The sequence below is a fragment of the Homo sapiens genome, chromosome 14, assembly GCF_000001405.40.
Source record: "Homo sapiens chromosome 14, GRCh38.p14 Primary Assembly".
Classification (NCBI taxonomy): Eukaryota; Metazoa; Chordata; class Mammalia; order Primates; family Hominidae; genus Homo; species Homo sapiens.
In genome coordinates, this window is record NC_000014.9 from 72,497,813 (window position 1) to 72,525,707 (window position 27,895).

Sequence of the window (27,895 nt, forward strand, 5' to 3'; positions counted from 1 at the left end):
CTTTAACTCAGGATTTTTTTTCTCTTTTTTAAAAATTATTGCTGCTTTTTTTCCATTCTATCCTCACTTTTCAGGAAATCCTTTTTTAAGAAGTCTGGGCCTCTGGGATGGAGTTGCTACATCTTTTATATTTTCTCTATTATAATTTCCATCTTTTAGTCTTTTTATTCTATATTCAAAGGATACAATTTCCTGAATTGCTCTTCAGAATCACTGCTTTGATTTTCACTGGTGTCCATTCTGTGATTTTATACTTTAGAGAGTTTTTCTTTTCCCACTGAGTGTTGGGAGAGTGGTTGATAATCAAGCTTTTCATTTCCAAGACTTCTTAATACTTCTTGGACTGTTCTTTTCTTAGTAGCCTGCTCTGTTCTATTGGTGTTTATCATGTTACTCCCCCTGGAGATGTGATATAGATTTTTTTCATAGTTTATATTTTTTCCATATTTTCATATCTCCTCTCTATTTCTGCCGCTTAGTTTTATTCGGGGTTATTCATTAGAGAATCATCATTTCTGCTCATTGTTTCATTCATTCCTCTGGTCACTGCTCAGAGCAGATCATTCTTTTTGTATGCCCAGCTATTTGGAAGACTGCTCATTTTTATAAATGAAGGTCTTAGCTTTCAATCCTGCCATACATTAGAACCACCTGGAAGTTTCTAAAAAATACTAATGCCTGGTCCTCACACACAGCCAATTAATTCAGAATTTCTCACAATTGAACATTGTTTTTTAATCTCCCCACATTTTTTTTTAAATCTCCCTTTTTAAATCAGGGAGATTTAAAAAGTCTAATGTGCAGCCATGGCCTAGGACTCTATCAGTAGCTGGTGAGGGTGCTCTCAGTGATGGTATGGGCCAATGGTTCTAAGCCATGCTGTGCATCAGAATCACCTGGGCTCCTCTTTAAAAATACACGCATACTGGGGTGGCTCTGGGCGTCTGCATCTTGAGCAAGCACCCCAGGCGTTCTGAGGCACACGACAGTTTAAGAAGTCCTGGTTTGGTTCACGGAGTTCCCCGGCAGGCTTTCCCCTGAGCAGTTCACACAGGAGCAGGGCTGCACCTGAATGTATGAATGGATGGGCATAGATCAATTGCCAAGGTTCCCCTCTGGGTCCCGGGTATGTGGTCCAAGAACAGATTAAAAGATTGGGCCCTCTCTTACAGTGAGACAGGTGGCAATGGGAGTCTTGGGGAGGTAGACCCCCACCCTTCCTAGTGTGACATCCCTGCAGCCAAGTGTTCTACTCTGTGGGTCAAGCCCTGATGGAGTTTCTGATGTCTTTCTATTTCCTCGCCAAGGTACTCCCCAACAAGTCGACTCTTCTCCCTCCACTAATGGGTCTTAGGGGAACCCACTTGGATCTGCGAAAGCCAATGAGAGGTGGGGAGAAAGCTAATGTGTCTTTAAAATCTCCCTGGTTCCCAAGATGTTTTTTCTCTGTGTGTGTGCTGTGCTGGCAGGAACACAATCCTCTGGCCTTACTGTCCATATGAGAAGCTGGCCGGGAAACATCCCCCTTAACTTAGCAAACCCTTTTGGCCATGTGGAACCTGATCCATGTTCCTGAGTTGCTTCCATATGCCCCTTGTCTGATGCCACCCACTGCCTCCACTTCCAATCCTGCTGCTCAGAGCTCGGGGTTTCCCAAGGCTTCTGTTGGGGACACTCAGCTATTTTCTTCTCTGATGCCTCCACTGGAATCGTAGGCTGCTGTCGATCAGATATGTCACAAGTTCAGTCTATGTGCTTCGTGCCTTCCTGAAATTTCTCAAAGCTCTCATCTGCTGATAGGAAATTTCTTTGCCTCTACATACTGTGTTTAGTTTTTTTGGGGTTTTTTTGTTGTTTGTTTGTTGTTTTTTTTTTACTTAACTGAGCTCTGGGCTTTTGCCTGTTCCCTCCTCGTTGGCCACTTGTCCCCCAGATCCTCACATGGCTGGCTTCACTTCTCATTCAAGTCTCACTCAGCACTGGTGTCCCTTCCTCAGAAGGGCTTTCTGTGACCACCAATCTAGAGTGGCCACCTCATCCCTCCAGCTGTTCTATATCACATCCTCCTCCTGGTTCCCTTTCTAAATAGAATGATTTCAGCGCCTAGGCCTATCTGGCATACAGCGGGCACCGTGTGGGCTGGAGGGAGGATGGATGAACAAGTCATTCTTTATTTGATCGTTTCATTGGTATTTGGGAAAGGAGGAGAGGCAAATGTGTGAACCTAATTCACAATGATAAAATGAACTTCCTCTTTTGTTCTTGAAAGTCAGCAAAGAAGTATGTAATCATGTAGGAAAATGGGGTCGCATGGCCTATTGGTTTATTCCAACCTATTCAGCACTTTTTCCCCAAGGAGGTGCTACCTGCCCCCTACTACTCATGCCCTGGTTCTACTCCTGTTGTTCTAGCTTCGACTCTGAACTTCATGCCTAATCTAGGATAGCTACAGTGTTCTGTCCACTTACAGGCAGAATCAAGTGTTCAGATACAAGTGAAAACGAAGCCCTGTTTCTTCTCCCAACAGACTACTCCTACCCACTTAGTTGCTGGCAGTGATGTTAGGAAAAAACAGGGTGGAATCAGTGTCAACATCACACTCCAGCCAAGGGATGGTTTCTGTCCACAAAACGAAGGCTGAAGATGACCAATAAAATAATTGAGTCACTTTCTCTCGGTTTCAGTTTAATTCAATACATTTGTATAGTAGTCAACTATGTGCTGTGTTCTGAACAAGAAGGGCTCTCAAGATAACAAATGTAGCAAGGTAAATAAAACATGCTATCTTACCATCTGGCACCAGAACTCCTCCTTGCTTGGCAAAGGACATTAAGCCACTTGGGGCAGAAGGTAAGGCCCTAAGGGCAGAAGGGTTGGCAGAGACTGAAACAACAAAGGGAGAGGGTTGTGCTGTCCTGCTGAGAAAACGAGACAAATGTATTCTCTGTTCCTGAGAGGGGAGAACTAAGGGCAGGGGAAAGCAGGGGAGGGAGAGAAGCCAGAGGCCAACAAAAACTAAGTCTCTGTGCAAGGCCAGGGAAATGCCTAGCATTGAGGTGACCAGGGACTTTTCAAAAGCAGGAATGTCTAGTATGTGCTTTTTTAAATAGTAGGCTGCCAGGAGGTGCGATATGTACCCATTTTTCAAGACCCTCAAATTCCTGTAAGGCCCCCACCCTCCCAAACGCTTCATGAGAGGAGGGGTTTGGTGGGTGTGGGTGAAGGTTTGTGGGAAAGGAGAGACAGTGAGAATGCAGGACTCCCTTAGGAATTCCTGCCAATCTCAGGTGGGCTTTGGACTTCACTGGGCTGGGTGAAGGGGTCCAGGCAGGCTCGTTATGATTTCCAGGGCCCAGGATGTCACCGACAATGTCTAAATTCTGCAAGGTGGAGAATATACTGAGTCTGCCGTGGGGAGGTTACAGACAGCCAAATGGAGGATGGCCATAGCAGCTGAATAGAATCACGGATAAGATGACATAGGATATACAATAAATAGCAGAAAATTGTGCTTTAATTCTTTCTCCTTCTCAGACAAGCTATTCGATCTGGAAGTCCAAGGATAAGAAAGTTATATTCAGAGGGGAAAAAAAGGCAACTGTTTTAAAGGATGGGCAAACTACACCTCAAGTTTATGCAACATAGTGAGCTGTGATCGCACCACTCCACTCCCGCCTGGGTGACAGAACAAGACCCCTAAAGAAAAAGAGTAAATTCTGAGAAGTAAAGTTTAATTAAAGAAAATAGTGATTGCCAGGGCTTCTCATTGAGGAGAAGTCAGTCAAAAGTTGCCAGATGACGTAATTCTTTATGTCATCTGAAAACCACCAGGAGAGTGTCCCAGGGATACGTATGTAAAGTATTTCTGGTGGTGCCACTAACTAGATGCTGGAGTCTAATGAAACCTGGTGTTGTCAGCAGAATGTGGTTTGTGATTTGCTCTCTCCGCATGACTTCAGTTTAGCTCTCCCTCTCTGCTGGGTATCAGGCACATGAGCAAAGAGCTACAAGGAACCTGGCTTGTCCAGCTTGGCCGTAGGCATTCACTCCCAGCCAACCTGACCTGCTGAGAGGCAGAGATCATCCCTGAGCTGCCCATGCACAGCGAGTTTGACAGAACTATTAATCCGGAATATTAGTCAAGCTCCTTTCTTATGGTGGTGGATCTCCAAATATGGCCCCATTGGTGCCTTCCCTCTTTACATCAAGTAGGACACCAAGACCAAGGCCAGATGAAAAGAGAGGGAGCACCTTTTTCCCTCTCTCAAACTATTTGAGAACCAGTAATCCAGAACCCCTGTGGTGGCTTCCACCTTGGTCATTTGAAATATTTGCTCTTGAGACATTCCTTCTTGGAATCCATCTGCCATGCTTGGAGAAGCCCAAGCCGTTGGAGAGGCCATGTGCAGACAGTCTGGTCAGTAGCCTCTGCTGAGCTCCTGGTCAGCAACTAGCATCAGCTGTTAGGTGATGAGCCCTCCTGGATGCACAGCCCAGTCAAATCTCCAAATGACCCCACCTCCAGCTGCCATCCAACTACAACCATGTGATCCCCAAGTGAGAACCACCCAGTGGAGCCTAGTCAACCCATAGGAGAGTGAAAGAGACTAATAAATGGCTTTTTTAAGCCCCTGGATTTTAGGATGGTTTGTTACACAGCGTAAATAACTGGGCCAGGCGCGGTGACTTATGCCTGTAATCCCAGCACTTTGGGAGGCCGAGGCAAGCGGATCACGAGGTCAGGAGTTTGAGACCAGCCTGGCCAACATGGTGAAACCCCGTCTCTACTAAAAATACAAAAATTAGCTGGGCATGGTGGCAGGCAGCTGTAATCCCAGGTACTCGGGAGCCTGAGGCAGGAGAATAGTTTGAACCTGGGAGGCGGAGGTTGCAGTGAGCTGAGATCGTGCCATTGCACTCCAGCCTGAGCGACAGGGTGAGACTCCATCTCAAGAAAAGAAAGGAAAAGAAAAGAAAAAGAAGTAACTGGACCACTCTTCATTGGAGTATTCAGGACCCTCAGGTTGTTCTTGAGGTATTAAATAAAATTATGATTGTTTCTTTAGTAGCCTTGGCTCTGAGATGGGGACATTGGATTATTTTCTTTTTAAGGAATTGCCTTATTTCGTAATTTTTCTAATAACTTGTCTTAGTCTGTTCAGGCTGCTACAGCAAAAATGCCATATACTATGTGGCTTAAAAACAATATAAAAATTTTTTTCACAGTTCTGGAGGCTGGGAAGTTCAAGGTCGAGATGCCACAGATTGGGTGTCTGGTGAGGGCCTCCTTCCTGGTTCATAAATGTCTGGGTCCTCACATGGCAGAAAGGCAAGAGAGCTCTGGGGTGTCCTTTTATAAGGACACTAATCCCACTCCACGTGACCTAATTACCTCCCAAAGGCTTCACCTCCCAAAACCATCACATTAGGGGTCAGGATTTCAACATATAAATTTGAAGGGGAACACAGACATTCAGTCCACAACATTCTACCTCAAGATCCCCAGAATTTATGTCATCTTGCATGCAAAATACATTCATTCCATCTCAGTAGTCCCCGAAGTCTTAACTTGTCCTGGCATCAATTCTGAAGTCCAAAGTCTTATCTGAATATCATCTAAATCAGATATGAATGAGATTAAAGATACCATTCATCCTGAGGCAAATTCTTCTCCAGCTGTGAACTTGTGAAACCAAACAAGTTATGTGCTTCCAAACTACAATGGTGGGAGAGGTATAGGATAGACATTTTCATTCAAAAAGAGAGAGAGAGAGAGAGAGAAATAGGAAAGAAGAAATGGGTAATGGGTTCCAAGTAAGTCCAAAATGCAACAGGGCAGAAAACATTAAACCTTAAGGCTCTAGGAATAATTCTCTTTGGCTCAATGCTCTGTCTTTTAGACCCACTGGGGCAGCAGCCCCACCTCCATAGCTCTCCTGGGCTGGAGTCATACACCCATGGCTTTCCTGGGCTGATGCTCTGGTCTTCCAGGCCCATTTGGGTGGCAGCATCATCCCCACAGCTTGGTGGGATGGCCCTACAGCAGCTTTCTCCTGGGGTCCCTATTGCTTTCCCAGGCTGGGGTTCCTCACCTGCAGCTCTTCTGGGCAGCCCAGTCCACCATGGCTCTGCTGGGTGCAGCCCATATTGCAGCTTTCTGTGGGGACCCCATCCCAAGTCACTGGGCAGGAGCATCCTGATCTACCTAAATTGAAGAGACGAGTTGATCCTTTAAAACTGTTCTGCTCTCCTACTACATGTCCCTTGAACTCTGGGCCTATGGTGCAAGTGGCAGCCCTGATGAACTCTGAATTGCTTTTGAGTAATTCTTCCATTGTCTTGAAGAATAGTTCCTGGATTCTGTTAAGATGACTCATCCATACTAATATACTTATCAAACAGTCACTTGGCCACACTATTAGTGGTCTCATTTTTTGCATATGAATAGACAAAGAATTTTTCAGATCTTCAGGTTCTGGTTTCTTTTTGTGCTTAACAATTCTGTCTTTAAGTCACGTTTTACTATAAGTAGTCAGGAAGAGCCAACCTGCACCTTCAACACATTGCTTAGAAATTTCCTCAGCTAAATATTTAATTTCGTTGCTTGCAAGTTTTACCTTTCACAGAATACTAGAACCAAATAAAATTCAGCCAAATTCTTTGCCACTTTATAACAAGGATCAACTTTTCTCCAGTTTCTGGTGATATATGTCTCATTTATGTCTAAAACTCATCAGAATGGCCTTTACCATCTATATTTCTACCAGTATTCTGTTCAGGATTATTTAGGTATTATCTAGGAAGATTGAGGCTTTCTTTATAGCTCTCCTCTTTACTTTCTGAGCCCTCGCCAGAATATCCTTTAAAGGCCTGGTTACAGCAGTTTAGGTTCCTCTCCCCTCCTCTCCCCTCCCCTCCTCTCCCCTTCCCTCTCCTTTCCTTTCCTTTCCTTTCCTTTCAAGATGGAGTCTCACTGTGTCACCCAGGCTGGAGTGCAGTGTCGGGATCTCAGCTCACTGCAACCTCCGCCTCCTGGGTTCAAGCAATTCTCCTTCCTGAGCCTCCTGAGTAGCTGGGAATTACAGGTGCCCACCACCACGCCCAGCTAATTTTTTTTTTTTTTTTTTTTTTTTTTTTGTATTTTTAGTAGAGACGGAGTTTTGCCATGTTGTCCAGGCTGGTCTCAAACTCCTGACCTTGTGATCCGCCTGCATTGGCCTCACAAAGTGCTGGGATTACAGGCGTGAGCCACTGCACCCAGCCAATTTAGGCTTTTGCTGACATATATCTCAAGACCCTTCCAGCTTCTATTCATTACACTGTAAGCCACGTTCACATTTTTAGTTGTTCATTACAGCAGCTTCCCACTCACAGTACGAACTTCTGTCTTAGTCTGTTAGGACTGCTGTTACAAAAATACTATAGACTGTGTGGCTTATAAACAACAGAAATTTATTTCTCACAGTTCTGGAGCTAGGAAGTCCAAGATCAGAGTGCTGGCAAATTCAATATCTGGTAAGGATCTGCTTTCTAGTTCATAGATGGCTGTCTTCCTGCTGTGTCTTCACATGACAGAAGGGAAAGGGAGCTCTCTCTGGTCTCTTATAGAGTACTAATCCCACTCATGACCTAATCACCTCCCAAATATCCTGCCTCCTAATACGATCACATTGTGGATCAAGATTTCAATGTATTAATTTGGAGAGGGACACAAACATTTAGTCCTTAACATAATTCTTAAGTGTTTTGAAGATAGCTTGTATATTCCCCAAGTCTTAGTTTAGATATTGATTGAGGCAAATGTAGTAGAAGGCAAGGTAACAGAGTGGAAAAAAAGAATAGGCTTTGGAGACAGGCAGTCCTGGGATCCAGGTCCTGGCTGCCACCTACCAGCTGTGTGACCTTGGACAATCTGACCTCTTTTGAACTCTGGATGTTTAAATACAATGTCAGCCTCCCTGGCTTATATTAAGATTTAAATAGGGCACTGTAAGGAAAGCTCCTTACACCATGTGTAGCACTATGAAGCTCCTGCAGAAATGAGCATTGATATAGACAATTGCTTCCTTTGAATCTGGCTTTCTTGTCCTCAGTTTGGTAACTTTCCTCCATCTCTAGCTGGGGGATCAGCAGAAATGAAAGACAGACACCCTTGGAGAGCTTTGCTATGTGTTGGTTTGGGCTGTCCAGTGGGAGGCAGGAACTTGATAAGAATGAAGAGGCACAGAGGACAAATAAGAGTTAGAAAAAGGCATCCAGCTAGCGATTAGAAAACACTGTCAGGATAAGGACACTTCATCCACATCACTATACACATTTCTAAACTGATTTCATTTTAGTGCTGAACACTTGCCATGTGAAAAGTCCTATGCTCATTACAAAGACACATGAAATATGGTCCCTGACCTCAAAGAGCTAAAAAAAAATAGCTGGAAAGACAATGGCATAAACTCTCGAAAATCCAAATGCTGACATAAAACTCTACTAGAGAATATGTCCCAAGGAAATATCGCTACACAATGGATGTAAAGAGACTGTGCTTCTGTGGATTGTTTGCTTGAATTTGGCTGAGGGACAGTTATTGTACCACTTACCTGGAGATGGATGTTGAAAGATATTTTAATTTGCAGAATTATTTTATAACCATAAGAGACCATTCAGTGGTAACAACATGTTCAAGTCTTTTCTTAAACCTTGAAGTGGATGATATTGGGAATACTCAAGTGATACAGAAGAGATATGTATAGGGAAGATGTATCTAGGAAGCTTTTAATAGAACAGACTCCCAGTAGTGAAATCGTACTAGGAAAATAAGGAAGAAATGTGGATCATCCAGTTGTAGTAATACAATTGTGAATAATGGATAGTTGAGGGAAGCCAAGTATACATGGTTACATTGTATCGACTAAAAATTCATGTCTTTCCCAGAACCTCAGAATCTGACTTATTTGGAAATAGAGTTGTTGCAGATGCAGTTAGTTAAGATGAGGTCGTACTTGAATAGGGTGGGCCCCTAATCCAATATGACTGATGACTTTATAAGAAGAGAAAGCAGGCTGGGCATAGTGGCTCACGCCTGTAATCCCAGCACTTTGGGAGGCCGAGGCAGGTGGATCACAAGGTCAGGAGATCGAGACCATCCTGGCTAACACGGTGAAACCCTGTCTCTACTAAAAAAAAAAAAAAAAAAAAAAAAAAAAAAAAAAATTAGCTGGCCATGGTGGCGGGTGCCTGTAGTCCCAGCTACTCAGGAGGCTGAGGCAGGAGAATGGCGTGAACCCAGGAGGCGGAGCCTGCAGTGAGCCGAGATCACCCCACTGCACTCCAGCCTGGACAACAGAGTGAGACTCCATCTCAAACAAAAAGAGAAGAGAAAGCAGAGACACAGACACTTACAGAGCAAACACCATGTGGAGACACAGAAACACAGGAAGAGAGAGTGCAGTGATGCATCTGCAAGCTGAAGAATGCCAACATCAGAAGTTAAGGAAAAGTCATGGACCTGGTTCTCCCCTAAAGCTGTCCAATAGAGCATGGCCCTGTCAACACCTTGATTTTGGACTTCTAGGCTCCAGAACTGTGAGAGAATAAATTTCTGCTGTTTTAAGCCACCCAGTTTGTTAGTCCTTTGTTATGGCAATCCTAAGAAGCTAATACACCAGGGTATCCTGTCTCTCTAGACCCATTTATTTCTGCTGAACTATGACCTTGCCATTTTCCAGATACCCCCACCTTCTGTCCTAAGCATCCCTCTGATTCTACATCTACAGTGACACCCCAAGATTTCTGGCCCACTCCAAAAATTGCCCTTCTCCCACTCTTGCCACCACCAAGGAATCTGGTGGAATGAATGTGGACTCACCACTTGGGTACCAGAAAGGGGTGACACTGGTGGTGGGTGTGCATCCATGAGGCAGTCACTACAAAGTCTGAGTGAATTTCTACAGCTGCTAATATGGGCACAGCCCTCATTCGAGTACAGCTGCCACTAGTACCATCCCTGGAGAGCCCTGAATCCTCCTCTGGTAAAGAGTAAATGGTTGGGTCCATCCTTGGTCATAGCATGACCTTGGCAGAAAGAGACAATGTCCTGCAGTCTCTGGGGCTTAAATTTACTGCCAGCCTCAACCCCAGGGGAATTCTTCCACAAACAGTATTTTTGGTTCCCTTGAAAGTTATTGAGTTTGATTAGGTCTGTGGCTTGCGTTTGAGAGAATCCAGGATTTGTCTTCATGTCTTGTTGTGAAAGGCCTAGCCTGGTACTTTGGAAGAGGTGTTTCATGGAGTCTCCCATTGTTTGACCTGATGGGGTTAGTCTACCACCATGACCCTATTGGACTATGCTGGAAATGCAGAGTTGCAAGCCAGAGGCTCCCTGACCTCCAGGCTCATGATCTATTGGTCATCATCATTGTAATTAGAAGATACTGCTGTTGCTGATTATGTGTGTTGGTGAAGAAGTAGTTGGGTTTGGATGCGGTATGTCTAGAGCTGCATACCAATATAGTAGCCACTAGCCACATGTAGCTATTTAAATTTAAATTTGAATCATTTAAAATTAAATGAATTTTAAAATTCAGTTCATCAGTCACACTAGCCAGTTTTCAACAGCCCAATAGCCACATGGGGCTAGTGGCTGCCATATTGGAGAGCACGGTTATGGGATATTTTCATCATTGCAGGAAATTACACTGGACAGCGCCAGTCTACAGTTATTTGCTTTCCCAAGCTTTCCACGCACACAAGCTCCTTTTTTTTTTTTTTTTTTTTTTTTTTTTTTTACTAAGTGGAATTTTCCAAGTATTGAGAATATGTCAGCTCCATAATAAGAGGAAACATGATTTAATCTCTTACTGTCTGTTGGAAATAATAAAATATATGCATCTATTTTTTAAAAGAGGAAAAATGAGTATTGCTAGACCAATGTTTCCCAATTTGTAATGTGGACATAAATCACCTAGGGTTCTTGTTGAACTGTAGGTTCTGATTTAGCAGGTGCAGGTGGGGCCTATGGTTCTTCTTCTGGTTCACAGACCACACCTTGAATAGGGAAGAGTTGTAGCATGTGACTTGTGAGTTAGGACCTTATCACTGTTTAAAGGGCCAAGGACATAAATACAGCAAGTGAACTTTAAATGGAAAGACAGAAGCTGAAGGAAATACTCTTATCGCCCAACACCAGAAGAATTAGACCAATGCCCATTCTTTAGTCTGAATGTGAGACAGCATAGCAAAGATGAGCTATGCAGCATGGCAGAATTAAGAACTGGGGCCGGGTGCAGTGGCTCACACCTGTAATCCCAGCACTTTGGGAGGCTGAGGCGGGTGGATCACGAGGTCAGGAGATTGAGACCATCCTGGCTAACATGGTGAAACCCTGTCTCTACTAAAAATACAAAAAAATTAGCCAGACGTGGTGGTACGCACCTGTAGTCCCCGCTATTCGGGAGGCTGAGGCAGGAGCATTGCTTGAACCCGGCGGGCAGAGGTTGCAGTGAGCCACAATCACGCCACTGCACTCCAGCCTGGGCGGCAAAGTGAGACTCCATCTCAAGAAAAAAAAAAAAAAAAGACCTGGTGCCCTCTGGAGCCTTGCTGTCTAGATTTGATTCTTGACTTCATTACTTCCTAGCTGTGTATTCTTAGGCAAACTACCATGAGACCTCACCTTCCCTATCTGGAAAATGGGAATCATACTAGTACATTTTTCACAGAGCAGTTGTGAGGACTCAGTGGGTTAACAGATGTAAAATGCTTGAGACGGTGTCTAGCACACGGTAAGCACTGTGCATGGTTGTTAAATCAATAAGTGCATGTAACATTCTGCTTCTAACAAGAGAATATGCTTTACTCTGGATGTGTCAATACATTTCTGACCAGTTGTACATCACTTGGCTTGAAACAGGACCATAATTTCTCCCCTGAGGATTGAGGAAGGGGTGGGAGGTGGAGGATAGTGTGTTTTGATGAAAGATTGGGTCCATGAAGCATCCTGGGTTATAGTACTAGTGAAAAAATTAGAGTCAAAAGTTGAGTCCATAATTGATAGGAATGGTCCAGGGAGTTTAATCAATGGCATGGTAGACAGCAGCCATTTGAAGGGCATGCCGGCAACCATCACTTAACATGCCTCCTTAAAGAAACTGTTCATCATTGGTTACTGTTGGTGTACCAAAGTCTGCATTTGGAATTTGTGCAGCTTTTGTAGAATCTGCCCCTTAAATATGAGATGTTTCCCTTTGGTGAGTGACTGCAAAACAGACTTGAGTCACTGAAGAGAATATGACACGAGCTTTTCTCTGGTATTGATCTTCTTTAAACCTTCTTCCTTCACCCCAAAGCAAAGAGCCCAGCCAACAGCGAGTAAAAAGATGGGGCTTCTCTTTCGATGAGATATTGAAGGACCAGGTGGGGCGGGACCAGTTTCTACGATTCCTGGAGTCCGAATTCAGTTCAGAAAACCTCAGGTAAATCTCTCAAAGTTTGAGCTGTGTGCGGAATGTGTGTGAAGAAATTTGCATAATCGGTCTCTCCATCTCTCTCTCTCTCAATGAAACGTTATCAGGGTTCAAATTCAAATGCCAGCTAATCTGGCTGAGGTTGAAATGGAGAAGAACAAATTAAAATATGTAACTCTGTCACCACCATAATAGCACCTACTAACACCAGCATGTTTCAGTTCAAGTCTATATGACCTTTGTGCGACTAATTGGAAATAAGTCTTCAATAATAATTAGTCAAACGGATTTGACAACATCATTCATTAAGTACAGCCATAGAACCAGGGAGCTTCAGAGTGGAGAGGCATCTCAGAGGCTGTCTCCTCAAAACTTCCCAGTCTGGGGTCCTGAATATCTGAGAAGCTAAACGGAAGAGGGAGAAGTCAGTGGGCTCATTTCAGAATTTCAAAGAGCAAAGTAAATATCACTCAGTAACTGGTGATGTAACTGTAGCAGCTACGTAACAGTAGCAGCTAATAAAAACATGCTTTTTTCTTTTAGAATGACTTCTGTCGACTCCAAATAGTGGTTACTCTGATCATCTGACGCCAGTGAGAACACCTGATTGTTCCTATTGGTCTATAACTAATACTTGATGAGGGAAATGTATTAATAATTACTATTTAATAGGAGAAAAAAATAAGATATTCAAAACCTCAGGTCCAATATGAGAGGAAGAAAAGGGGGTGAATTGAAAGGAAAAGTCTCCTTGGTTATGAAAAATTTGGGAACTTGTTTATTTAGACTTTTATGGTATTAGATGAAGAATCAGAAATCTGCAGAAAATGTGACTTATCTGAGACTTATCTAGTGATCTTAGCAAACTGGTGACTTTTTAATGGGTAAGATGGAATCTCTCTCTTTCTTTTTTCTTTGTACCAGATTTTGGTTTATATAGTAGAGTAACACCCATCTTCCAGTGCTGTTTTCTTTAAAGATGTCTTAATAATGTTTCAATATTGTATTACTTTAAAAACTCAGAGCATGTGCTGCGGGCAAAGGACTGCCCCTCCAAAGTTAATGTGCAACATCCATGCACTTATTTGAAGTTGAGACCATCGGTCCCATACGTCAATCAAGTGATATTTATGCTACACCTGTGCTGTATCAAGCCCTGTGAGAGTCTGCTGAGAGATGCAAGTCAAGATGTGTGATCTTTGCCTGTAACGACCTTGTAGGTCCTTGAGGAAAAAACACAAGAAATGATTAAATCATTGAATGTCTATAAATGAGTGTAAACTCTAAGAACCATTTCGAAAGCATTTAAAGGAGAAGAATCAAAGCTGAAGTAGTTAAATCATAAGCTGGACTTTGAAGAATACACAGGATAATAGTAGACGAAGAAGCAGGAGAGAGAATATTCCAAGCTGGAGGACCAAATGAGGAAAGAGGTGGCCGTGGGACTCTCCCACTCCATAAGGTCCTGAGAGGACACGTAGATGCCGACTAGCTGTATGGAGCGTGCTGTTCTAGGCATCCACGTGTCTGTTATAAACCAGACAAGGTTGAGTATCTTATTTTGGGTTATTATACAAGAGCCTTTCCTTGTGCTGAAGCATGATTCCAAACACATCTCAGAGCTTCATTTCAATGCCTAATGAAGCATTTGTAACAGAAGGCTTGACTTCTAATACTCTTCACTAGGGTGGTGCTCAGACTAGCCTCCCTGTATAGGAAGGAAGGCTCTCTGTGGCCAGCTTGATGGACCCAGGTGGCCTCTCTGTGTAGCCAGCTCAGTCCCAGTTTCCACCCCCTCCATGGTCCCTATGAGCCACCCCTGGGAGTCCTTCTCATCTTCCCTTCTTACCTGTTCCCCTTGGGTCTCCAAGATGGAGCGGTATAGAGGCCCCCTTTACCTAACTACCTCTAAGCCCGTAAGTAGCCTCAGGACCCTCTGCTGCCTGCACTCTTGCAGAGAGCTTGAAGAATGACCCAGAGTTTGGTCATTGTGAGGGTCCCAGGAGCATCCACTGGCTCAGCTGCCACCTTGCCTGGTCAGAGCATTCATTCTAGAAAGTCCCGAGTGTAGCCAGAACCACATATCAGTTCAGACTAGTTTCACAAATTATGCATCACACTTAAAGCCCAGAGTGCACCAAGGAGTGTGTCCCTGGCAGGTGTTCAGTGCTTCTTCCTGCCATCACCTCCTGCGCCTCTGCCAGCTCCTTTCCCCATGCCAGGAGGGCTACATTTAATCTTGGGTGAAAGCATGCATGTGAGCATGTGTTCATGTGCCAGAGCCTAAGCCACACCCCCAGAATGCAGAAATCCAGACTTCAGAGGGTCACCCCTGCTCCATGACAGGAAAGGAAATAGAATAGCAGGGAGGAAAAGGATAGCCAAGAGCCTCTAAAATCCTCTCTGGATGCCCAAATTCCATTTTTATGATATTCAGCATAACTGGATACATGGTGGGTGAGAGAGAAGCTCAGTCGTAAATCACATAACTGTAGGACTCTTCAGTCACCCATCACAGGGCAGCCTTTTCCCCGTTCCATTGCGTTCATCCCTTCAGCTGCAGATATCATCTTAGCACCAACCGTGGCACAGGGCTGGCGGATTTAGAGCTGACTGAGTAAATATCAGGGTGGCCAGGCATGGCTATACAGATGCACCTCCACTGTGGCTCATGCCATGGAGGCCCCTGGGAGTTGTGCAATATGGCACAACTTGAGGATCCTGCCAACCTGTCATGTTGGCCGTGCTGGAGTCGTCCCTTCTCCGCAGGATTGGTGAGGGGCCCAGGCCACTGGCATTGGAGCATGGCAGGAAAAAGCCTGACCAGAACTCACCTGGGTAAATTACAAAGTGCTTCTCCACTTCCTCTGTCCTCCTGTGCTCCCTCTCATCTCTCCAGTGAAAGGGCTGCTTAGATCATAACATTCTTGCACAACCCACGGGGTGCCAGTTAAGTAGCCAAGTGGCTGAATTTCTATCAGAGCTTCAGAATGCGGAATGGAGGAGCCCCAAAGTGTCACCCTGGATCCTTTAAGGAACAATTTCTATGATGATGTAATAGAAGTTGACATCCCCTTTGATCAGTGTCTTCTGGGTGGGTCTGTGAGATGAGGGTGGGGGCATCATCTCTGTGGACTGGGTGGGGTATGACCAGCAGCGCATTTTGCTGAAGCTGTGAGCTCTCTGTGGCAGGGTCTACCTCTTTTTCTCCTTTTCTGACCCACCTGAGCTGGGTGCAGGCTCCCTTTGCACCGAGTGGACCCACAGACAGCTGTTTGTTGAGTGCCTTGGGAATGCTCATGGCTTCTGTCCACAAGGCAGGGGCCTCACAGCTCTGATGCAGGGAGCTCCGCTCAGTTTCTTGGCCTCATCCTTCTTCCTGCTTTGTGCATTTTCCCAGAATAATGACAGTCACTCCTTCCCATCTTTGCTCCCTCTCCCACATCTCCCCTACACAAATCTTTGTCCTCCCTGGCTTGACACCCTCTGCTGCACAGCAGAGAATGAGTTAAAAATCAAAACCCACAGCAAAGAGTGTCCCCCGTACATTTTTTGTGAGCTGTAACATCTCCTGAGAGAAGGTAGTTGTTCTTCTAACCTGCAGATTGATGATCCGAGTTCCACACAGTGTCGGCTGAAGGGAGAAGCAATTAAAAGAGAACACAGTGGGGCACCAGGTTCATCTCGAGAGCTCTTGTCTCTGGCAGTTGCCCTGAGTCCAAGGAAGACCTCAGAAGGTTCACTAGGCCCAGCAGGATCCACCACTTACCAAACCCATGATTAATAGGAACAGAGGTGACTCCCACGACACCACAACCATCTGCAGTGTTTCAGTCACTGCCCAGTGAACAGAACTCAGCTTCAGTGGTGCTGGGGGTGGTTACTAACGTAGGCACCCCGGAATTTTAGCCCCACCGGGAACTAAACCAAGTTTAAGCTCTGCTGCCTACGTCTCTGGTTGACCAGCAGAGGGCATAGAAACACTTTCTTCTCTCCTGGAGTTTGCTTTTTCTCTGGGAGCGAACCAAAAGCTGTATTTTCTAACCCATGAAAATTCTAGTTTATGAAAAGATATGTAAACTGGTGACTGAGGGCCTGCCCAGACCTCCTGGTAGGATGGAGAATGATCAAGGGCCAAATGGTTTGTCTTACCCAGCCAGCCTTGAGAAAATCCTCTTCCTTGAAAGCCTCTAGGGAGAAAGGAGGCTCCCACTGGGGCAGCCCCTGGATGGTCCTCCAGCCCTGTTCTCCACTGCTTCGCCCCAGTGGTATCTGAGCCCAGGCTGCCTCGCTCCAAAAGCTAGTTTCCCCGCCAGCATTTCTAAGTCATGAACACGGATCAAATGCCCGCACAGGGGCTGCCTCCCTACTGCAGCTATGACAATTGGCAGAGACCAGGGGCAGGTCAGGACAGGTGGTCTCCCAGATATTAGTCCTTGTGGCCTGCCAGTCACAACGGCCCTTCTGCTGCAAGCCATGGAGGCTCAGTGCAGGATGGATGGATTTGATGCAGCTGCTGGCATTTCACTCCCTGCCGCTGCCCTTGGGGAGGAGCGGTACCTGCAGGTTTTTTATAAGAGCAGAAGCTTCCAAAGCTTCAAGGGGCTTCCCATGGGCAGCAGATGTGCAGAGAGGAGCTGCTGTGGCTCTCTGCAGCGGGGAATGTGGCCTGGGCTCTGAGTTCCCAGCTCAGGCCTGTGGGGCTCGAAGATGGCCAACACTAACCAAAGCCTGTTCTGAATTTCAAATTGACACAAAGGTTCCTCAAAACCAGTGATGGTAAACACATACGGGATGTCAGGATGCTGCTGTGACAGCAGTTTTGCTGTTGCCTGAGAGAGACAAGGCAGGTCAACTCCAAGGCAGACAGAAGGCCAGGGAGAGTCCCCAGTGTGTGCAGGGAGAGAAAACTGCTGTCTAGGGAATGTTACCCCATACCTTCCCCCTCTCCCTTCTTGCCCTTTCCCCCTCCTTCCCTCCCTTTCTCTCCCCTCCCCTTCCTCTTCCTCCAGCATGCCTGTTGTTTTCACTTGTACTTAAAAAAATTCTTGGTTTTATGTGACAAAGAAAACCTTTTTATTTTTACATAAAAGTTTATTAAATTTGATTCCGCGGCCTGGTGCAATGGCTCACGCCTGTCATCCCAGCACTTTGGGAGGCCAAGGCGGGCGGATCACTTGAGGCCAGGAGTTCAAGACCAGCCTGGCCAACATGGTGAAACCCCATCTCTGCTAAAAATGCAAAAATTAGCTGAGCATGGTGACATGCCCCTGTAATTCCAGCTACTCAGGAGGCTGAGGCAGGAGAATAGCTTGAACCTGAGAGGCGGAGGTTGCAGTGAGCCGAGATGTAGCCACTGCACTCCAGTTTGGGTGACAGATCATGACCCTGTCTCAAAAAAATTGATTATGAAATTTGTATTTCCATCAGCTCCGGTCATCTCTATATCCAGCTGAGTGATGTACATTTTCATGTGGCACCCAAATCATCCTGCAAAAAGGACCCTGAGCCCTCAGGAACCGCAGGGAGCCTGCAGAGCTCCCAGGGTCCTCAGGGCCTTCCCACAGGGGCTCAGCAGCTCCTCCTCAGTGCTGACAGAGGTGACAGAAAGTGACCTCCCATGTGGCATTGATTGAGGGGGCAGGAAATCACCCAGGTGTCATCCATTTGTGTGAGAAGTTGCAGGGGCCCAGGGGGCGTGGGAAGACGCTGACCCAGAAGGTTGCTTCCAGCCAGGGATTCAGCCCAGACGGCCTCCCTCTGTGAACCTGGTTCTCCTGTCTGCCTAGCATGGGGCTGAGGAAGCCTCACTGACTTCGTCTCTGGACATTTGACCCCTTCTGGGCCTTGGAAAAGCCAACACTGGCTTCTTCCTATAGAGCCAGGTTCCCCGCATCTTTCACCTACTGGTCAGACATGGCCTTCCAGGCAGAGAAAGCCTTGTAGGTACTCTCACCAGCAGATGGCCATTTTCACTTGGCAAGCCTCCCGGCCACTTCCTTCTTTTCACAGCAGACCTGAGAGAGTGGACAGAGAGCCCTACAGAACCTAGGGCAGGCCTGGGAGATGGAGGAGACCCATGCCCCAGCTCAAGAGTCAAGGGCCCACCTGAACAATGAGGTAGGGGAACAGCTCCTTTCAAGCCCTTCCTTCCCCACCCTCTCTGGACTCTGGATAAAGAAACACGACTGCTTTCCTCTCACCCAGAAGCCAGAAGGACCTGAGCACCCAGGACTTGTGGCTGTCAGAGAGCTGTGGAAGGGCAGGGGACACCAGATGGCAGCAGCAAGAGCTGGGCGGCAGCATCTGCCCAGGCCACCTGCGGAGAGAAGGCTGGAATCCGAGGGATCACACTGGGCCAGCATTGAGCCTGTGGCCACCACACTGACCCCTCCTCAGCTCCCCCTCACAGGACCTGAAAGCATTTCTGAGTTAAGTCTGCATAGGAAGTTTTCCAGAGCCATGCCACATATCCCTCCATCCACTCAGTGCCCATTTTACAGATGAAGAGAGAGGCACCCAGAAAGGTACACCAAGGCAAGATATGGCGTAGACAGGATGAGGGCAGAGCCAGCTTCCTGATCTGATGGAAGTCATGAAGCCTTCTCTGCCTTACGCTTGGCTCTGCAGGGTCGCTGAGAGGTTCCTTTAAGGAGATCATCAGAATCCTAAATGGCAAAAAATGGCAAATCAGGGGAAGAGTTGGAGCCCAGCATTTGGGGACACACACACACACACACAGTCGTCTTGCCTTGCAGAAATTGGGTTGCATTACTCCAGTCTGCCACTGAGTGGCACCTTTGGGCCATGCACTTGGCTCCAAAGACATTTCTCTGAACAGCAACAGAAAAACATGTTTAACCCTAAAAAAAAAAAAAAAAGAAACAAGTACATCTTACTTTGGATGAAATTTGATGACAGATTGAATGCACTGTCTGCACTTTCCACCACGTCATGTTTCAGCTTCGCTTGTCCCTCCCTTTCTGTTGACTAGACTACCTGTGATTCCCGCTGCTCTCGGAACCAGCACAGGACCTACTCTCTTACTCACTGATGGGGGAGCTGGCCTGTCCATGCACAGGGCAAAGGATATGACACCCAGACCTGGATCCTGCTGCAAGGCTGCCTTGGGAACCATCCTTAAGACCCGGTAGCTGTTGTCCAAGCTTTGGCTCTGGCTGCTGCTGCTCTCAGCAGAAAAGAGCTCACTGCTCCCATGCGGATGCTGAGGGATTAAACAGAGGCAAATACGGAAGTGAGCAGATTTTTCTCTCTTGCTCTCAGCAGAAGGAGAACCATTCTGCAGAGAAGTTTTCAACATATGCCTCTTCAGCATTGCTCCAGATGCGTCCGTCTTCACTCTGAAACCCATATATTGAGCACCTACTATTTGCCAAGCACCGTGCTGAGCACTGATGTGAATTGGCTCAGTTTCTCCATCTATAATAGGAATGGCTGGTTCATTCTTACACAGATAGTCTTTATGATTCCAGGACACTGCCTGCTTCTGGGATCTCTCCTCCATTTTGATGCCATCACTTGATCCCAACTAGATTTGACAAAGGGTCTCACACTGTCTGCATGGTGGCATGTATGTAGCACTGGGGTTCTCAACCAGGAATGAGTTCATCTCCCAGGGGACATTGGGCAATGTTTGGAAACATTTTTAGTTGTCATAACTTGGGAAGGGGGGTTGCTATTGGCATCTAGTGGGTAGAGGCCAAGGTTGCTGCTAAACATCCTACATTTCACAGAATAGCCTCAACAACAAAGAATTATCCAGCCTGAAGTGGCAATAGTGCTGAGGTTGAGAAACCTTCATGTAGAAGGAGAGAAATCCCGTTCTGATAACGAGAAGCACATTGATCTTTTAATATGCAATTCTTTTCTGTTCTGCACCATAGGAACACCTTTGATGTTTTCACAATCTCCATGGTCTTTGCAGCTCATGTAGTGGCATCAGGGCAGGCTGAGAGATGCAGCAGAATGGGTTTCATGGGACATCAGCTCTGGGGCCATCTCAGGCAACATCCCGATGCTGAGCCCCCTGGAACTGACTGTGTTTCTGCTCCCACTTCAGGTTCTGGCTGGCTGTCCAAGATCTTAAGAAACAACCCCTACAGGATGTGGCCAAGAGGGTAGAAGAAATCTGGCAAGAGTTTCTGGCTCCAGGGGCTCCAAGTGCAATCAACCTGGATTCTCACAGCTATGAGATAACCAGTCAAAATGTCAAAGATGGAGGGAGATATACATTTGAAGACGCCCAGGTTTGCTTATCTACTCAAGTGGTTGTCATAAGGTGTTCATTTGTCCCCTTCATTGCCTGACCTATTAACACAAGTTCAAGGCATTGTGGGTAGTTAAAATTTCAGATTTGGTTATTTTTAAGTTCATCAGTGGAAACCATTTCAGATAGGCGCACAGCAAAATCCCAGGATCGTTTTCCTAGATGGGTTATGTATTACATAGAAACCAAAATGTGCAGTTATATGCTTTATTTGTTCCAGGAAAGCCTCAAAGTGTTTTACAAAATCTGAAGGCTTGTAATAAGTCAGTGATAGAATCTGGAAACCAGAACACAGCATTGGGGAAGTGGGTGTAGTGAGTTAGCAGGGCCATGAGTCAAACCCACATCTGTCTACCTCTGAAGCCCACACTGATAACCACCTCTCTACACTGCTTCCGCAGTGATCTCCAGCTCTGCAGTGAATATTTTTTAAGCACATCTATATTCCAGGCTCTGCGCTATGTGATAAGATACCACAAAGAACAGGCAAAACCCCTGTTCTCACCGAGGTTGAGTGGGAGACAGACAAGTAAATGGGCAACTTCAACAGTGTGAAAAGTGCCCCAAATGGGTGAACCCTAGGTTAAAGCAAGCCTGCAGGAGGGACTCCCAACCCTGTAGGACACAATTAAGATGCTCACAGATGCTAGTGATGCTGGCTAAAGAAACAGGAACCACCCTAACCAGCAGACTAAATTTTGACGGCTGGGAGGTGCCATTTCTAAAAATAAGCATTGGGTTGGTTTCTTACTTCCTGGCCCCTAATTTCTATTTCCTGTCACCATCCCACACCCAGTGACAGGGCTTAAGATTTTGCTTATCTCCTTGACCCCACTTACTTCTCTCACCTCTGGGGCCCCCAGTAGAGAATTTGGGTGGTTTGCCCCTTGCAGACATTATTATCTGATTTAGGAAACTCAGTGTAGCTGCACCAATGCAAATAATGGCATGAGAACAGTGTCCCTTATCATCCAGAATTACCTTGTCATTTGCTCAGAACTTCAAGATGGAAACACCTACCAACCTCAACACCATAACTATCTACTTCTCTCCCCCTGGTCACGAGCTCCATCAAATGCCTGTGCCAATCACGAAATCATGACTCCTTCATATACCCCTTGCAGCTTCAAAGCAGAATGTTTGAGTCATGAGAGCTCTTTGCTGAGATATTTTTGCTTATGTGTATGTACGTATGCTTTCAAGCACCATATTGACATGGCCAGAGAGGAGAGTGACAGGGGAGTTCCGTGGGGGTTCCCTGCATGAACAAGCTGAAGCTCAAACTCCAATATTTATGAAACACAAGAAGAGGGATACTGGTCAAAACCTTGATGCATCTAGCACAGTATTAACACTCCAAGCATGACATCAGGAGGGATTTATTTTAATTTTTTATTATGAAAACTTTTAACACTTGGAAAAGTGGAAACAGCAAAACAGCAAACATTTATAGACCCTCATCCAGCCTCAAAAATCATCAGTACACGTCTGATCTTGCTTTATCTCTAGCCCCATCTACTTTTTCACCTGCCACCAGGTTACTTTACAACAAATCCAAGATGTTGCATCATTTCATCTGTAAACTTAGATATGTATCTCTAAAAAAAAGATCCTTTTGTTTTAATATTGCCACAATATCCTTTATCTCCCTCCCTTCCTCACATCCCCTTGCAATTTATTTGATGAAGGATTTAGATCCTTTGTCCTGTAAAGAGTTCCAAGCTCTGGATTTTTCTGATTGCAGCCCTGTGGTGCTATTTAGCATGTTCTTCTATCATCTCTCTTTCCTATAAATTCGTTTTATAAGATATTTAATCAGATTTAGGTTTGATTTTTATGGACAAAACCACTTCATGGATTGTGTGGTGCTCTCCTATCAGAAGGCACATGTCTAGCCACCTCTCTTTTTGACCTTTTTGCAGATATTGATGTCTATCGCTTATATCCATTAGTTAATTAGAGGTTACAAAACAACAACGTACTAATTTTATTCTTTCTTCACTTATTAGCTGGAATACTTTCATAAAGAGAAACTTCCCTCCACCACTATGGTATTAACTAGCAGTACAATTCACATAAGAAAAGCAGGATAAATATTTGATTCTCTCCCTTCATTTGCCAGTTTTCAAAATGAGTGGTTTGCTATTATCTTCCTATGGTAAACATTAGGGTCTATTTTGGTTTTACTATCTTTGTAAACTCATGAGTTTAAACATATATGCTATGTTTTAATCCATTTTGCTGATTACTTTTATTGATGCTTGGATTGGGCCATCTCTGGCCAGTTGGCTCTTTCTGACACAGCCCTAAGAGTGATCTTTGACATCATCCAAATAGCAGGGAAGCTAAGATATTCCAGTCTTTGCCCTTACCCAGAATAAGCTGTTTCTCCAAGGATCCCTGATTCCTCTTAGTGAGAAATGGTATTTAGAGACTAAAATCTAGGCACTTAGAGTGTTTCATTGTTCCTGGATTGTTTATCATTTCCAGCCCTTTTCAGTCGACAGAGCTAGGAAATGTGTTGCTGTTTATAATAAAAATACATCCTGAGTTCATACTGATACTTTTAATTCAAATTCTGACCTACAGGGGATTTTATTTAACCGCTTGTTTCTTACACCTGTGCCTCTTTTCTCTATGCTGACAATCCTGACTTTCAAGGGCACTGGATGATAGCATAATTACTCATTTGCTTTATACTACACAGAGCAGTCTCTAAACCACAATGCTAAAAATACAGCAACAGTATGATTATCGCCTGGTTCTTTAATTGTTGCATAGTATTCCGTTGTGTGGAGGCACCATAGTTTAGTCAACCAGTCCTCTCTTCTTGGACATTTATGTTGTCTCTACTTCAAGAAAGTTTTGATGGAAGAAGTGGGGAAGTCAGCCTAACGAAGGTTACATATTGACAAGTATCTCAATATCCAACCTACAGTGCTCTACCATTTTCCAAGTACTTCTAAATACATTCTATCTAATTTCTACAGCAATCTAGACTAGACATGAGGATGTCTTAAGCATCCCCATCTTCTTCATTATCTGCTAGGATTAGTCTCCCATGAATTCAAATAAAACACTCTTCCTAAGCCAATCCCTATTTTCAGACCAATTTCCTATTGCTTCTGAAGTGTATTTCCACCATAAATATACAAAGTGTTCCTTTCTAGCAGAGTGACCTTGGACAAGTTGCTTAAATTCCCTGAGTCTTCCTTTCCTCATCTGTAGAACAGGGATACAATGGAGCCTACACATAGGGGTGGAATGGGGACCAGGTGAAAGGAAGCATGTCAACCACTAACGATGTCTGGCCCACAATAAGACAGAGTAAATACTACCATCTTATTTTTCTAATGTCACTAATATTCTCTTTTTAAGCCGTAGTGTTTAATGTATTTGGTAAAAATTTTTAAATAATTTCACATAACCTTAGCACCCAGAGATAACCCCTATTTTGGTGTATTTTCTTCCTTGATTTATGTGTGTAGCTACGTGTAAGGTCTGCTCAGGCTGCTACCACAAAATAGCACACACTGGGTGGCTTAAACTACAGAAATTTATCACAGTTCTCGAGACTGACAAATCCAAAATTAAGGTGTCAGCAGATTTGGTTGCTGGTGAGGGCTCACTTCCTGGCTTGCAGGTGGCCGCCTTCTTGCTGTGTCCTTATAACTCTGGTCTCTCTTCCTCTTCTTATAAGAACACTAATCCCGTCATAAGGGCCTCTCTCATGACCTCATTTGAACCTAATTACCTCTCAAAAGACCCACCTCCAAGTACCACCACACTGAGGATCAGGGCTTCAACAATATGAAATTTAGGGAGACACAACATTCATTCCACAACAGGGCGATTTTGCAAATAGCGTGATCCTGTAACCTGCCTTTTACCTAAAACAGGGGTCAGTTAAAAAACTATACTTTTCCTAAAAAGAGCCAGATAGTAGACATTGCAGGCTTTGTGAGTCATGTGGTCTATGTCACAACTATTCGATTCTGCATACAAAAGCAGCTACAATGCAACAACATAGCAATGTAAACAACATAAATGAGGACCTATGGCTGTGTTTATTTATGAACAGTGAAATCCAATTTCATATAATTTTTCACAAAATACAATTCTTCTTTTAGTTTTTTTCAGCCACTTAAAAACATAAAAACTGTTCTTCGCTCATGGGATGTAAAGATCTAGATCACAGGTCTGTATCTGTAGATTTGAATCACAGACTGTAGTTTGTGACCCTGTGCTAAATAAAATCTAGCACATGGTCATGAAAATTATTGAAATGCTTCAAGAAATCCAGAAAGCTACAGGATAGAGGATTGGGCATAAAGGATCTTCAGTTTTTGGGGGAGAGTAAGTTAGAGGAGACTTGGTTTTGACGCAGCCATGGCAACACAGCAATCTGAATTGTGAATGTTTCTACATGAGGATTGAGTGTTGCGGAGCAGAGGTCAGCAGGTGCCAAGAGACTCACACTGCCTTACCTTCCTGGACAGCACTGGCTGCCTGCCCCAGCAAAGTAGGTGCAGTTCAGAAGTTCCCAGGTATAAAAAGGAGGTTAAAATCCTCAGCAGCCCATGACCAGCCAGGACTTGCACTCAGATGTCCTCGCTTGCTGGCCAAGATTCTGCTCAGACCACACTGTCCCTGGATTGTTAGTGCTGAGGGCTTGGTGGTCGCACTGAGACCTGGAGAAGTTCTAGTCCCTAGAGAAAGGCCAAGAGTCTGGGAGTTCCTTCTAGAATTATCCATTTAAGTTCTTTAAACTTTCTCTTCTCGGTTTGCCTCTCTGTTAAATGGGGATGTTAACACCTCAGCCCATGGGGCTCAGGGGCTCTGGGTGGCTTCCTCAGCTGGTCATGATGGTTCTCATAAACCCCCTGCAGTGGTCATATGCTTTAATATTAGTGCTCAGTAGCCTGAGAGAAAGTACAGCCAGATTTATGGATTCACTGGAAGCAGGGACTGGGGGTGGGGTGCAGCCTCTCTCCAATGGGTTTTGTTTCTTATTTGACCACACGCATTGTTAGAGCCAAGTTAATTGCCTGTATTTGCTTCCTGTGGAAATATTTCACAAGACACCCTGTTATCGTGGGCCCAGCATTTGTACTTGTGTTTTGCTGATCCGTTTAGCTTTTTTGAAAATTTTGGGCCAAGACCAAATCTTCCATAAAGGTCTGTGGGCTGTGACCATAGTCCTCAGCTGTTTGCTGTGTTGTTCCAATTTCATAGATTTAGCCTTGTGAGGGGAGAAAAATATATAGGCCATGATTATTTTTTTTTAAGGACTCAGTTCTTTATGCTATGGATTTAATTCTCTGTTCCCAACCATGTGGCCTTAAAGGACCTGCATTGTCACCTGCTTGCTATGTGGTCTGAGGCAAGGGCCTTGACCTTTTGTGCCTTAGTTTCCTCATCTGGGTGATGGGGGTGATGTCTTCTTTACAGCCCGCTAAGGATTTCAGAGAAATCAGATGAGCTAATAGCCCTGAAAAATCTTTGAAAAAGTAAAAAGTGCTATATATTTGTAAGTGTGAACTCACAAAAATTAATGACTTTAGTACTCTCTGGGGTTTCGTAATTCTAAGCTGGATCCAAAAGAAATTCTCTCAAAATATCTGCCCTTAGATGGGAAAAAATGCCAGAAAAGGATGTAAGAACTGAATTTTCAGGTCCTGGAATGCATCCTAAGGAATTTGAGCTTCTCATCCTGAAGACAGTAGCAAAGCATTGCAGGCTTTTACCTGGAAGATGGTGAATCCCATGGTGATGGGCATAGTAGGCTGGAGCCAAGAGAGAGTTCTGAACCCTGGGGCATGTCATATAAAGCTCTGCTGGCAGTTGTTGGTGGAGAGAATTAAACCACAGGAAGTATTGAGAACCTTCAGCTTCCTTGTAGGGCATTTGTCTCTTTCCAAAGCCTTCACAGGCTCTAGATGAGATAGAAATCAAATGCCAGCACAGTGGCTGCCTGGCTTCCATTTTAAATCTCAGAGTACCAAGGATGTTCCAAGGACTATCTCCCTGGATCCATTCAATCATTTGTCCATCTGCCCATACACCCATGTCATGAACATCCATTCTCCCATTCAAGTTGGGAAACCTTGACCCGTGCGGCATAATATTCTGTGCAGAGGGAAATAACATGAGAAATAGGAGGCCCAGATGGCTTTTTTTTTGCCATCAGGCAGAGCTTATCTAAAAGCACATCATTTTCAAACAAAACAAACCAGACCTAAGAAAGCACTTCATTGAGATAGGATTGGATTGGAAATCTGTCCTTTAAGTGGACTGATAGTGGAATAGGACAAGCCAGTCCAGCCCCATTGGCTTTGATCCTTGCAGTTTCCCACCTCACCTTCCTACTCGTCCCAGCCCCACTGCTTTCCTGACCTGTGGTACCTGCTAAGATGCCCCACCCTGCCCTGTACCTGGAGTGTCTGGGCCTTCCAGACCTCTGGATTTGAAAGTTATTTCATGGGAGCAGAAATTTGGTCTTCTTTACCTTTTATAAGTTCCTGCATCACAAAGGTAATGCTGAATGCTGAATGTCAGCTAAATGCTGATAATTCATTCCAGAATTATAACATTTTCAGCTGTGCCTATCAAAGAAGCGGGGGACAATTTGTCCCTTAGCTTTCAACTTTGGAGAGACAACCTTGGGGAGTACACCTAGTAGATAGTCAAGAAAAGCAGGTTAAATTAAATTCCTACAATGTGCCGATTCAGCAAAACTTGGAATACCCACTAAGTGTCAGATGTTCTAGGCGCTGTGAATATACAAATGCGTAGGGAGGTTCCTTTCCTTAAGCGGCCCTGGGTCTGACTTACCACAGCTCTGCTTGGCCTTGATGAACTCACAAAAGGATCAAAGAGCATGCTCAAGGCCAGAATGAGGTCTGCGTGATAAAAGAGCTGAGAAAGATACCGTCAAGTCCACATCCGCCATGAGCAGACAAGAAGCCTCTAGCAAAACGTTTATATTATTACCTAAGTGTAGATGTTTAAATGCAACTTGATTAAGGAATGCAAGGTTTCTACCATTTGCTTTGTTTAAAAGCCAAAGCCCAGTAGAGTATGATTTTAGGTTTGCCCAGATTATTCAGAAGTAGAAGTCTTCCCAGCTGTTCATCTTTGCTCCAGTGGT

The 27,895-nt window shown here is 44.9% G+C and overlaps 1 protein-coding gene and 1 non-coding gene across 57 annotated transcripts in view, besides 5 other annotated features; both read left to right on the forward strand.

Moving 5' to 3' along the window:
- Window positions 1–27,895, forward strand: part of RGS6 (regulator of G protein signaling 6) — a 762,695-nt gene that overhangs the window by 630,478 nt on the left and 104,322 nt on the right. For 53 of the 56 annotated variants that reach the window (NR_135235.2, XM_024449761.2, NM_001370270.1 and 50 more), the window contains 2 exons: window positions 12,342–12,467; window positions 20,539–20,725. Coding sequence is in view for 55 of the 56 variants with exons in the window: in XM_024449761.2 (XP_024305529.1) it covers window positions 12,342–12,467; window positions 20,539–20,725 (313 nt within the window). In the remaining variant the exon portion in view is untranslated. Of the gene's footprint in view, window positions 1–12,341; window positions 12,468–13,481; window positions 20,726–27,895 lie in introns of those variants that run through there. The other 3 variants (NM_001370280.1, NM_001370294.1, XM_017021833.3) reach the window with 2 other exon arrangements.
- Window positions 16,355–16,424: an enhancer, noted in NCBI's record as "active region_8683". NCBI's record gives its function as "activates an Ori minimal core promoter by ATAC-STARR-seq in GM12878 lymphoblastoid cells {active_cell/tissue: GM12878}" and the evidence as "EXISTENCE:reporter gene assay evidence [ECO:0000049][PMID:35858748]".
- Window positions 16,959–17,459: an enhancer, noted in NCBI's record as "H3K4me1 hESC enhancer chr14:72981479-72981979 (GRCh37/hg19 assembly coordinates)". NCBI's record gives its function as "activates a minimal SCP1, AML or CMV promoter by ChIP-STARR-seq in naive H9 embryonic stem cells {active_cell/tissue: H9 hESC(naive)}" and the evidence as "EXISTENCE:reporter gene assay evidence [ECO:0000049][PMID:30033119]".
- MIR7843 (microRNA 7843) lies at window positions 19,008–19,086 on the forward strand. The gene has a single exon (NR_106994.1). It is a non-coding gene; the product is annotated as a microRNA 7843 (primary transcript).
- Window positions 21,137–21,206: an enhancer, noted in NCBI's record as "active region_8684". NCBI's record gives its function as "activates an Ori minimal core promoter by ATAC-STARR-seq in GM12878 lymphoblastoid cells {active_cell/tissue: GM12878}" and the evidence as "EXISTENCE:reporter gene assay evidence [ECO:0000049][PMID:35858748]".
- Window positions 21,677–21,826: an enhancer, noted in NCBI's record as "active region_8685". NCBI's record gives its function as "activates an Ori minimal core promoter by ATAC-STARR-seq in GM12878 lymphoblastoid cells {active_cell/tissue: GM12878}" and the evidence as "EXISTENCE:reporter gene assay evidence [ECO:0000049][PMID:35858748]".
- Window positions 21,917–22,006: an enhancer, noted in NCBI's record as "active region_8686". NCBI's record gives its function as "activates an Ori minimal core promoter by ATAC-STARR-seq in GM12878 lymphoblastoid cells {active_cell/tissue: GM12878}" and the evidence as "EXISTENCE:reporter gene assay evidence [ECO:0000049][PMID:35858748]".